Raw genomic sequence first — 12,590 nt, 5'->3', positions numbered from 1 at the left:
ATAACCCAATTTTATTTTATTTTATTTTTATTTTTTGCTGTTCCTTGCAGAGCTAATTCTTAGGCAGTGGGCCCAGGGTCAGCCCCAATTTTAAAATGGACCAAAAACCTGAATAAACATTTTTGCAAAAAAGACATACAAATGGCCAACAGGTATATGAAAAAATGCTTAATATCACTAATCATTAGAAAAATGCAAATTAAAATCACAATGATCTATCACCTCATGCCTGTTAGAATGGCTATAATAGAAAACACAAGTGTTGGTGAGGATGTGGAGAAAAGAGAACGCTTGTACACTGTTGGTGGAAATGTAAATTAGTGCAGCCATTATAGAAAAGAATATGGAGGTTCCTCAAAACAATTAAAAATAGAACTACCATATGATCCCGCAATCCCACTTCTGGGTATATATCCAAAGGATATGAAATTAATATGTCAAAAAGATATCTGCTTGCCCATGTTTATTGCAGCATTGTTCACAATAACCAAGATATAGAATCAACCTAAGTGTCCATCAATGGATGAATAAAGAAAATGTGTATCTATACAATGGAATGCTATTCAGTCTTAAAAAAGAAGGGAATCTTGTCATGTGACAACATGGATAAACGTGGAGGACATTATGTCAAGTGAAATATGCCAGGCACGGAAAGACAATCTGAAAAAGTCAAACTCATAGAAGCAGACAGTAGAATTAGAATGGTGGTTATTAGGGGCTCATGGTTCCCCGTTGGTCGGGAAGGTCATGACATAAAATAGCAGGATTGGAGATATAGATGCTAGTCAAGAAAAGTCAAGAAATATAAATTTTGAGTTAACTATCAGAAATACCTTCAGGAGATGTATGTTGCGGTGACTATTGTTAATAACATATTGAATATTTGAAAGTAGCTAAGAGAGTTGGTTTTAAGTGTTCTCAGCACAAAAAAATAAGTGAAGTAATGCATATGCTAATTAGCTTGATTTAGCCATTCCACAATGTATGCATATATCAAAACATCATGTTGTACACCATACATATATACAATTTTTAGTCATCAGTTAAAAAAGGGAAAGAAAAGGTGGCTCACATTTCTCCCATTGAATCTTCTTTTTTTCTAAGTGCAGTCATCCCTTCGTATCCTCAGGGGATTTGTTCCAGGACCCCCGAGGATACCAAAATCCATGGAAGCTCAAGTCCCTGATATAAAGTGGTGTAGTATTTGCTTATTATCTGAGCACATCCTCCTATACACTTTAAATCATCTCTAGATTACTTATAATGCCAACACAATGTGAATGCTATGTGAAGCATTGTTGTATTGCATTCTTTTGAATTGGCATTCTTTTTTATCATTGTCTTGTTATGTTTAATTATTTTTTTCCAAATATTTTCTAACTGAGACTGGTTAAATCCATGGATGGGGAACCACAGACACAACAAAGGACCAACTATAATTTCACTTGTATAAGTTCCTTATATGTGAGGAGAGTAAAGGAAAGAAAATTTCAAAGGTCACAGAATTATTAATTGACAAGGTAGAAGCTCAGCTTCCTTAAGTTCTAGCCAAGCTTCTTTGATATAGTAAAGTATTTACAAAGGAGTCAATGTTCAACTCTTATTAATATTATGGGTTTAAAATGTTTTCATTATCTAATTATACTTGGTCTCCTCTGATTTTGTTACCACTCCCCACTCATGCAACGTCATGCTCTCTTACTGGATACCTGATGGTTTCTTCCCTTTTATACTGGGATCTTTCCATTTGGCTCTACCAGACAAATTTCATTTAAGCAAATTATTAGAATCAGACGAGAAATTTTAAAGGCAATGTGACACGTTTTGCCTAAGACTTGGGCAAATGTCTGAAACTCTCTATACTCCAGTTCATTTTAGCTTCATATCTGTGATTGTTTGCTCTTTATAAATACTCACAACAGGGTTATAATATCCCAGGTATTAACTGAGCCTGTAAAACTGCCTGTGATTTTAGGTGGAGGATAAAGGGAAAGAGACAGAGCTGATTCTACCGGGGATCCAACAGAGCTTTGATGATATGGACTGTTTCCTGTTTTGCCTGTGAAGATTGTCCAGAGCTAAAGTAAGAAAACATGTGGAGAATATGGAGATAAAATATGAGACAAAAGGTAGAAAATGGACAAAAGGAAAATAATATATGTATTATACATTTTATAATTAAGAGTGTAAAGGATTAGCTGGAGGTAGTGGTGTGGGCCGGTAGCCTCAGCTACTTGGCAGGCTGAGGTGGGAGAATGATTTATAAGCCCAAGAGATGGAGACTGCAGTGAGCTGTGATTATGCCACTGCACTTTAGCCTGGGCAGCAGAGTAGGACCTTGTCTCTAAATTAAATTAAAGAATGTAAAGGGGAGCCAGGCACAGTAACACACATCTGTAATCTCAACTACTTGGGAGGCTGAGGTGGGAGGATTACTTGAGACCAGCAGTTTGAGGTCAGCCTGGACAACATAGTGAGACCCCATCTCTACATAAAAGAAAAAGAAAGAATGTGAAGGGGAATGCTCAGGTGGTATTGCTATGAACTACACTGTCACTATATCAAACAGATCAATTTTAGCTGTAAATGACAGAGACCTTAAAAAATGGTGACTTAACCATTAGGAAAGTTCTTCCTCAACAGACAGCAATCTGGAGGTAGGTGATCCCCAGTTGGGTGGGGAGCTCATGACATAGCAAGGGCCCACACTTTTCCCACCTGCTTAGAGGACCATCCTCTGCATGTCGACCAAGTTTCCCATTTTGATCATAAGGTGGCTGCTGGAGCTCCCAGCACAAAATTCTCACACATCAGCTCCTATCAATACCTAAGCAGGAAGGAAGTGGATATGGGTAAAGAGAGACTTTTCTTTTTCTATGCCTTTCTCTTAACTGAGAGGACAGTCTTTTTCTAAACTACTCAACAGAACTTAGTAGCATGCCCCTAGACCAACACAAAGAGAAATGGGATGGCAGTGTTGTAAACCAATCCTAATTCATGTCTTAGGATTAGACATACTACTATAAGAGAGAAGGTAGACTGGCCAATGGGTAGGCAAGCATCAGAATCAGTCACACAAATACACACACACACACAAACACAGAATCAATCAACTATCAGAATTAATAAGGGATTTGGGCGAGGTTGACAGACGCAAGACTATACTAAAAAACGGATTGCCTTTAGCCTCAATAACAAAATAAGAGTATTTTGTAAATTATGCCATTCATTTTTGCAACAAAAATAAAGTATCTTAAATTAACCCAGATATTTTGTTAACATTAGCCAATTGACCAAGAATACACAAGACATCTATGGAGGAAATTTTAAGACTTTTATAAAGGGCACAGATATGAATTTAGTACATGAAAAGACTTTATAGTCTCAAACATAATATTTTAAATATCTAATTACACTAACGTAAAAATCAATTAATATATGTAAAGCAGTTGATTAAAATTCCAGTTAGATTTCGTGAGGAAATTTATACTCTAGAATTTATATGCCAACTAATTTCCTAGACTAAGTTGCCATTTTAAATGTAGACTCCTACTTTGTAATATTAAAACATAAACAGTAGTAATAAGGAGCAGGATGGTGTTTATTTGAATAAGGAATTGAAAAGGGAAGCAGAATTTCTATTCATAGAATAATGGATTTACTATAGTGTTAAGCTTTAGGCAATTATGGGAGCTGGCAGAAGAGTCTATATAAGCTTTTGCATCTGCATCTAGTGTTGACCTCAAGCGTTTATAGGTCAGACAGACTAGCAGATGGAAAGGAAAGCTAGCTGTGGCTGAGAAGATGGGCAAACTGGAACCAGTGAAGACAAACTGGAGCTGGAACTGGAACCCACAAGACAGAGCAGAACCAGTGTGTGTCTCTTGCCATTTCCAACATCAGTGCTATGAGTGATCAGTAGAAGGTGGGACCTTTCACCATGGAACTGTCCACATACTTGGGGCAGAAATTGGAGAATCTGGTGGAGATTTGACAGGAGCTGGAGGAGCTGGATGTCTCAGTTGATTCAATAAGATAAGCCAGCAGATCAGTAACAATGCATGCAAGATGTTGCTATACATGGCACTTTCTGAGGACCTTCAGAGCAGATAGATGATAGATAGATAGATAGATAGATAGATAGATAGATAGATAGATAGATAGATAGACAGATAGACAGATAGATAGACAGATAGCTGCCCCTTCACTTACCACTTTTCAAGTATCACACAAAATGCCTCCTGTGGCCAAAACAAACTGAGGACCATAAGGAAAAAATAATTACAGGAAATGTAATTCCAGTAAAACTAATCTGACACAGTTCAAAGCTATCACAATATTGTATTGTTGGTTTGGTTCAAGAACAAACAGACAAAAAACAGAAGTGAGTGCCAGGGACATGTTTATACAGAAACTTAATAGACACTAAAGGAAAACTAGCTATATGCACACAAAGACTGGATCTTTATACAACATAATAAAAAATGGACTCCAGATAGATTTAAGAATAAATATGCTGTAATCCCAGCACTTTGGGAGGCCGAGGTGGGTAGATCACAAGGTCAGGAGTTCAAGATCAGCCTGGCCAAGATGGTGAGACCCCATCTCTACTAAAAATACAAAAAATTAGCTGGGCATGGTGGCGGGCGCCTGTAGTCCCAGCTACTCGGGAGGCTGAGGGAGAGAATTGCTTGAATCCGGGAAGCGGAGGTTGCAGTGAGCCAAGATCGCACCACTGCACTCCAGCCTGGGTGACAGAGCGAAACTCCGTCTCAAATAAATAAATAAATGAATGAATAAATAAATAAAAGAATAAATATGAATGTTATAACTATAAATTTATAAAATAAAATATAGAACATTTTTGTGACTTAGGAGTAGGGAAGGGTTACTTATACAAAACTTCAGAAGCACAAGCTATAACAAAAAGAAAAAAAGTAAAGTAATTTGATTACACCTAAATTGAGGCTTTCTGTTGAACAGAGAATACTTTGGACAAGATTGTGTAGTTAGGCCTGGGTGTGGTGGTTGACACCTATAATCCCAGCACTTTGGAATGCTGAGGCAGGAGGATCACTTGAGGCCAGGAATTTGAGACCAGTTTGGGCAACATAGTGAGACTCCATCTCTATTAAATTGAAAAATAAATATTTTTTAAAATAAAAATTTTTGAATGTACAAATAAAATCACAGTTGAGCAAAGGAATACAAAAAAACACTCAAGTGTATTAGCTGGATGCACACATATTTATTCCCGCCCCCATTGTGTAAAAGCAGCCCTACTGCCTCCTAAAGAACAGGGTCCGTGATCCCTGCCAAGATGATAACTTCTCTTCGTGTCTGCCAGTCCCTGGACACAAGAAGCATGAAATGCCTGGTGGTGGTTGTTGTCTACATTTGCTGGATCTCCTAGCAAAACCGTGCCTCCTTTGGTAACCAGGACCCTAACCCTTCAGAGCCTAGGGTTGTGGGGAGAGAAAGTTCAAGTCTCCACTGAGTCTTTAGGAGTGATGGTAAGTGGGGTCACTCCTGCTTCTATTCCTTAGTTCTTGGACCCCTGATTTTTCTTACTGGAGATACAGTGTCATGTAAAAATGTTTTGATTCAATCTTCTGGGAGATGGAAGCCAATCTATCCTGATGCCCAGTAGCTGGAGCTCTTTCTGGAGAATGAAACCCCTTTTTGGTAAAGTATTGTCTCTAAGCTAGCATTTCAACTGTGTCTTCGGCATGACATTTCAATCTCCCAGACTGCCAGCTTCTGAGTGGTGTGGTATGTGATATGACCAGTGGATCCAATTGTCATAGGCTCACTCCTATACCTCCTTTGCAGTAAAGTGAACTCCCTGCTCTAACAGTGTCAGGAAAGGATCCTTTCCTAAGGAGAAAACATTTCACAAATTCTTGGATGGTGATGGTAGCTAAGGCTGTGCATGCAGGAAAAGTAAACCCACTTCCAAAACGTGTGTTTATTCTTATTAGAACAAACCTCTGGCTTTTCCAAGTTCTAAGGGGCTTGTAGTAGTTAACTTACCACTAAATTGTCTCCTTGAGAAACTATATATCAGATGCTCAGCATCAGTGTCTGCCCCTGGCAAGTTGAACATTTGATGCCAGCAACAGCTAAATTCACCTTGGTAAGTGGGAACTCATACTATCTGGCCCATACATAACATCTGTCTCTCCTACCATGCCCATTTCATCATCAACCCATTGTGCCAGCACTGGGGTAGCTGATGACAGAAACTGGTGTAGTAATGCTGTCTACTTGGCTGTTTAGATCAATCTCCATGGTTAACGCTCTTTGGTGGATATGTGATACAAAGACTTTCTCACTTCATTCCTACTCCCATTTGTTCAACCACCTCCTTATCTCATTCCTTCAATCTTACTCTTTCATGGGCTCCTGCCCATGAGTCTGGATTTATTGTTACATCAAGCCGCTACTCCTTTTACACAAAGTGGATCAACAGGTGAATCATTCCAAGCTACCTATTAGAAAGATTGTCCTTGTCCCTCACTATAGTCTTTTAAAACCTCTTCGGAATGAGACTGCAGTTCAATTGTTTCCATTTTTAAGAAACACATACTAAGCTCTTCCATTTCTAAATCAAGCTTTGGATTTTGGTTCTTCCATTAGCTGGTCATGAGAGATTCCCAATATGATCATAGTGAGGTGAAGGAGAGGTCTTAGTATGCAGTGGTGAAATTCATGGGGGTCTGGGCTACATGCTTATGCTGCTTGTTTTTTGCTAGTCCTTCTTATGCTTGGAGCTCATGCTTATCTTTAGATAACTGCTGTGGCGCTTAAGCAACCTTATGATTTGGAGATTCTGTGTGAATCAAGCTCATGTTGGGCATTTCTTGGAGGCATGACCATTGGTGTCTCCTGGTCAGGCATTTTTATGAATTCTATGAATGCCGGGCAGTATCCCAGGAGTTTTGTTTTGGTTTTTTCAAGTATATAATTCTCTTTGCTCCAGAATCTCAGAAGCTGGCACTGTTATTCTCCTGCTGGGGCTTACTGTAGCCCCATTGCCACTTTGTATCTTTTCTTGCTACTGGTATTTCTAATACCACAGTATCTGCAGAGTCTTGTCGTCCAAGTAGTGGAGCTGCTAGTCCTCCACCTTGGATTTGGTACAGAAATCTTTTCTGCACTAGGACCTTCTTAAAGATGCCAATATTTCTTTCTTTTTCTTTTTTTTTTTTTTTTTTTTGACAGGGTCTTGCTCTGTTGCCTAGGCTAGAGTGCAATGGTGGGATCACAGCTCAGTGCAGCCTCAACTGCCCAGGCTCAAGTGATTCTTCTACCTCAGCCTCCTGAGTAGCTGGGACTACAGGCTCATGCCACCACACCAGCTGATTTTTTTTATTTTTTGTACAGATGAGGTTTTGCAAGGTTGCTCAGGCTAAAGATGGCAATATTTCTTATCAGTTGGTGCATGGGCTGAAGTATTCCCTAGTGCGGAATAAGCTATCTCCAGAATTGAGGGCAACGTATTATGCATAGAGGTTTCTTCCTTGTAGTGAAAGGTGCAAGATGTAATGGTTTGTCTTTTACTTTGAAATATGTGCCCTGATATATTAATACTTTTGACTACAGGACTCCTAAAATTTTGCTTACATGTCAGCCCCTGGTTCTCTATAGGCTTTATCTCATATCCTATGGAGCACATGTATCTTACTAAGTCCTCTAATGCGCTAGCCATTTTTTATTCATTAGCTCCAATTAACATAATATCATTGATGTAGTAGGTCATTGTGAAGTTTTATAGGATGCCCAGATGGTCCATATCTCTCTGGACTGTATTATTACAGAAAGCAGAAGAATTAGCATAGCTTTGGGACAAAACCATAAATATGTCTTTTTACCCATACCATGAGAATGCAAACTCTTTCTGATCAGAATATAAAAGAATGTTTTTGCCAAGTCAGTGGCTATGTACCATGTACCTGAAACCCTTTTCATCTCCTCTAGCAAAGGTATTAATTATATCTAGTCCTGTGGCTGAAATTAGGGAAACAACTTATTTAAGTTTGCAGTAAACTGACACTTTCCAGGAGCAATCTGGTTTCTTGTGGAGCCAAATTGGCAAATTAAATGGAAATATGAGAGCATCTATTATCTCTGCATCCTCAAAAGTAGTACTAATTTCTGCCATCTACCAACCTGGGGTGGTTATATTGTTTTTGGTCCTTTGATGATATCTTAGTTCATTTGTGCTGCTACAACAAAATGCCACATATTGGGTAATATTTAAACAACAGAAATTTATTTTCTTGCAGCTCCAGAGGCTAGGAAGTCTAGGATTAAGGTGACGGAAAGTTTGATATCTGTCAAGGGCCTGTTCCCTGTTTCCAGGCTAGCACTTTGTTGCTGCGTCCTCATATGGTGGAAGAGATGGAAGGGAATAAACCTGCTCCCTCAAAGCCTTTTATAAGTCCTAATCCTATCCAGGATGGCTCTGCCCTCATAATTTAATCACCTCCAAAAGGCCCTCCATCTGGCAGATCACTTGAGGTTAGGAGTTCAAGACCAGCCTGGACAACATGTCGAAAACTCATCTCTACTAAAACTACAAAAATTAGCCAGGCATGGTGGCACATGCCTGTAATCCCAACTACTTGGGAGGCTGAGGCAGGAGAATTGCTTGAACCCAGGAGGTGGAGGTTGTAGTGAGCTGAGATCACACCACAGCACTCCAGCCTGGGCAACAGAGCAATTTGCTGTCTCAAGAAACAAAACAAAACAAAACACCTCCCTCTTAATACTATCACATTAACCATTAAGTTTCAACACATGAATTTTGGGGGACACATTTAGACCGTATCAGATGGGATTGAGTAGAAGATGGGGTATTTTTAGAGGCTTCCACTTGGCATTTCCCACTATGAGATCCCTTACTCTACAGGCCAAAGACCCAAAGTTAGGGTTGTGCCAAGTACTACATAGGGCAATCCCAATTATACTTTTGTGAACCAGAGGAATGACAGCTAGTTGGGAAAACAAACCCAATAGGCCTGCTATAAGCAAGACTTTGGTCATAACACTGTAAGGCCTCATTCTAACAGGGAGACCATGATGTTACTTTGGGTCTCTGGATTTTGATGTCACCTCAGACCTTTGCCTCCCACAATGTCCAAAATATTTGGGATACCTGAGTAAGTGGGCATTTGTCCCTTTGGAGAAAGACTAGCAGGTATTATTAACACGTATATTTGGCTGGGCACAGTAGCTCACACCTGTAATCCCAGCACTTTGGGAGGCCGAGGTGGGTGGATCACCTGAGGTCAGAAGTTCGAGACCAGCCTGACCAACATGAATAAACCCCATCTCTACTAAAAATACAAAATTAGCTGGCCGTGGTGGCTCATGCCTCTAATCCCAGCTACTCAGGAGGCTGAGGCAGGAGAATCGCTTGAACCTGGGAGGCGGAGGTGAGCCGAGAGATGTCGCCACTGCACTCCAGCCTGGGCAACAAGAGCAAAGCTCCATCTCAAAAACCAAAGAAACAAACACACAAAAAAATGTATATTTGGCATGAGGTTAGGGTCTATCCTTCTGGAAGCCTGGCCCTTTTTTCAGTCAATGGGTTCTGTAGCTGAAAACGAATTTAGATCCAGGAGCTAAATTGCTCTCAATTTAGTTGTCACCCATATTCAATTTCTTCTGATAGTACAGGCCGAGTTATACTCTTACTGTCAATATATTTTGCCCCTATGGATACTGTATTCCAACCATCTCCTTTACTCTCTGACGGTCAGGCCCTTTTGGTTATAACCCTATGAGTCTGCTACTCATTTAGATAATTATGTCAATGTGGCTTCTGGCAGTTCCTACCATAACACACCCTCTATTGTTTTGGAATCCTAACATCCCCACTGCTTTTATTGAGTCTACTCTGTAATGGCCTCTCCTAATATTAACCCTGTCTAATAAAGAAATCCCAGCACTAAACATTTTAGTGATGCTGGTACCCCTCTCACCTGTGCATTACTATGGCCTTGCTAATGGTGTGCACAATAGTCCCTCTCATGGTACATAATCATCTGGTGAGTCTTTCAGCATTACATAGATATTTAATGCCTATTTCAGCATGCCCATTTCCTTAAGCTTTTAATCCTTTCCTCCACTGCCTACCATAGCAATTCTGGCATTTCAACTTTAGTATGGTTTGTTATTTTCTGCATGCTTCTGGGATCTATACTAGTAGTGAGTTGCTACCGTCTCCTCAGATCCTTGACAGAGTATTGAATCTTGTATTTTTGGAGAGTGCCCCAAATAAATAAAGTCTCTCCTATCCAATATATTGTTCCAGATTGCTTAATGGTGCACCCTCAGAATCCAGTGCCAATAATGCCAACCAATACATTCTGTTTAGGTCTTGCAATTCCTTTGGGTAGAGCTTCTTTTCATCCTTATCAAGCCCAGCAAATCTGAAGCTGTATTACGTTGGAACTTAACCCTGGTTATAGATCTAGTGGCCAGGAAGGGAAATGGGAGCAAATCAGGAGGCAAATCATGTGCCTACAGGAAAAGCCCTCTCCATTGTCTTCAAGCAAGAAGGATGTGCTAACTCTTGGAGAGGGATGGTCACTTCTGCAGACCAGGAGAATTCAAAGAAGCCTAGGGGTTCAAAATCTTAAATGACATTCACCCAAATCTCCCCAGCTCAAGGGACAGTGTCCTGTTTTTCCTAATCTTGGCCCTAACCTTAGCATAACAGAATTGCTTTAATTCTGCATTTCCTTTCTTGCCATTATTATTACTAATTAAGAAAAAAGCCCTCTCTGTCTGTATGTGTACAAGTGTACACACATGCATGTACATCCAATGAAGTGAATATGAATTTAAAGAAATCTCTAGAAGAAAATATCAAACTTTTAATACTGGTTAAATACATGAAGGAGAGTACAATGAAAAGCTTTGGAGAAAGAAATTTGCACAATTTTCTATACATTCTTCCATGTCTAAATATTTTTTGCAAATATTTGTATAACATTTTAAAGTATTAGGAAAAGTAAAAGGATCAATCAACGTAGGGGAAGAGAACTGGAAGAGGGAAGAAAACTTTAGCCATGTCCTTTATTCTCTCCTAAGAAGTTTGACCTCACTTCACCCAACCCAAGAGGAGAGAATGAATGGGTGATGGGCATTGAGAGCTTGTGCGATGAGTCATTTCCTTGCCCCTGGAGAAGGTGGGAATGAGGAGAAGGGGGCTTACTGTCCGTAGTCAGCCATACTCTTTCATTCCTCCTTCAGAAAGGGCCCAAGGGCTTGGGGATTGCAGCTCTGATCCAGGGACCATGGGAACCACATGAGAGGCATATGAACCTGGGTACATTGCAGAAGGATGATTCAACTAGGGACAGTCATGAGTGACACCACAGGAGGAGGTGTATCTGTGCAGAAACAGCTCTTCACAGCTTTTTGGAACATCGGCATGGTAGGAAAGGGCAAAATAATCTATATAAATAAAGTTAAGTTTCTGTCTGTTAAAACAATTGATTAGACAGATTTTCAATACATTTGACAAAGGTATTTAGAATCACATATTGGTTTTCTGTAGCTACTATAGTAACAAATTACCACAGACCTGGTGGTTTCAAACAACAGGAATTTATTCTCTCACAGTTCTGGAGGTCAGAATTCCAAAATTGGATTCATAAGGCAGAAATCAGGGTGTTGGCAGGAACATGCTCCCCCTAAAGGCTCTAGGGGCCTTGACTCTTCCAGTTTCTGGTGGCTGGCAGTATTCCTTGACTTGTGGCCATGTCACCCCAATTCTCCTATGACTTCACATCATCTCTCTGTGTAGATAAAACTTCCCTCTCCCTCCCTCCTATAAAGGCCCTTGAGATTCCATTTAAGGTCCACCGTAAATGTAATTTGGATAATCTCCCCATCCCAAGATCCTTAACTTAATCAAATCTATAGAAACTCTTTATCCTTATCAATTAACACTTACAGGTCCCAGAGGTTGCAACTTGACATGCTTGGGAGCCATTCAGCCTACTGCAGATGGACTGAATTAAAACATGCAACACACATGAAGTTAATGTTGGGAATTCTGGTTTTTCAAAGAGCAGTCTGCTTCTAGAGAACCCAAAATTGAGAAACAATAGCAGTTTCGTGTATCTGTCAATCAGAAGAGAGCTATGGTATGTATTAAGACACCAATTAGAGAAAATAATTGGTGGCTTCAAAGTCGAGCTCTGCCTCCCCAACTCAACCTATTGAGTAGAATTTCTGCATTTGATTCTTACCCTGACTAAAGGCATAAGAGTCGACACTGATGTGTAGGCTTCAGTTCACAGGAAGTCTGCTTCTCACATGAGCAACTCCCTATAGCTGACTTCTCAGTAATAAGTAGGGATTTATTTGTGTAACCATGTAGAATCCAAGTAGGAAGTCAAATTGTAGTAATAATACTAGCTAACGTTTCTTGAGCATTTATTATATCCCTTGTAATGTGCTAATTGCCTCTCATGTATTGTCCTATTTAATTTCAAAGCAAACTTTTGAGGTAGCTTGACTCACTAAGGCTCTTTGATTATATCCACCACAAGCAAACAAGATTAATTGGA

The sequence above is a fragment of the Homo sapiens genome, chromosome 2 (genome assembly GCF_000001405.40).
Source record: "Homo sapiens chromosome 2, GRCh38.p14 Primary Assembly".
Classification (NCBI taxonomy): domain Eukaryota; kingdom Metazoa; phylum Chordata; class Mammalia; order Primates; family Hominidae; genus Homo; species Homo sapiens.
The sequence above is the reverse complement of the archived record's forward strand: the minus strand, read 5'-3'. Positions refer to the sequence as shown.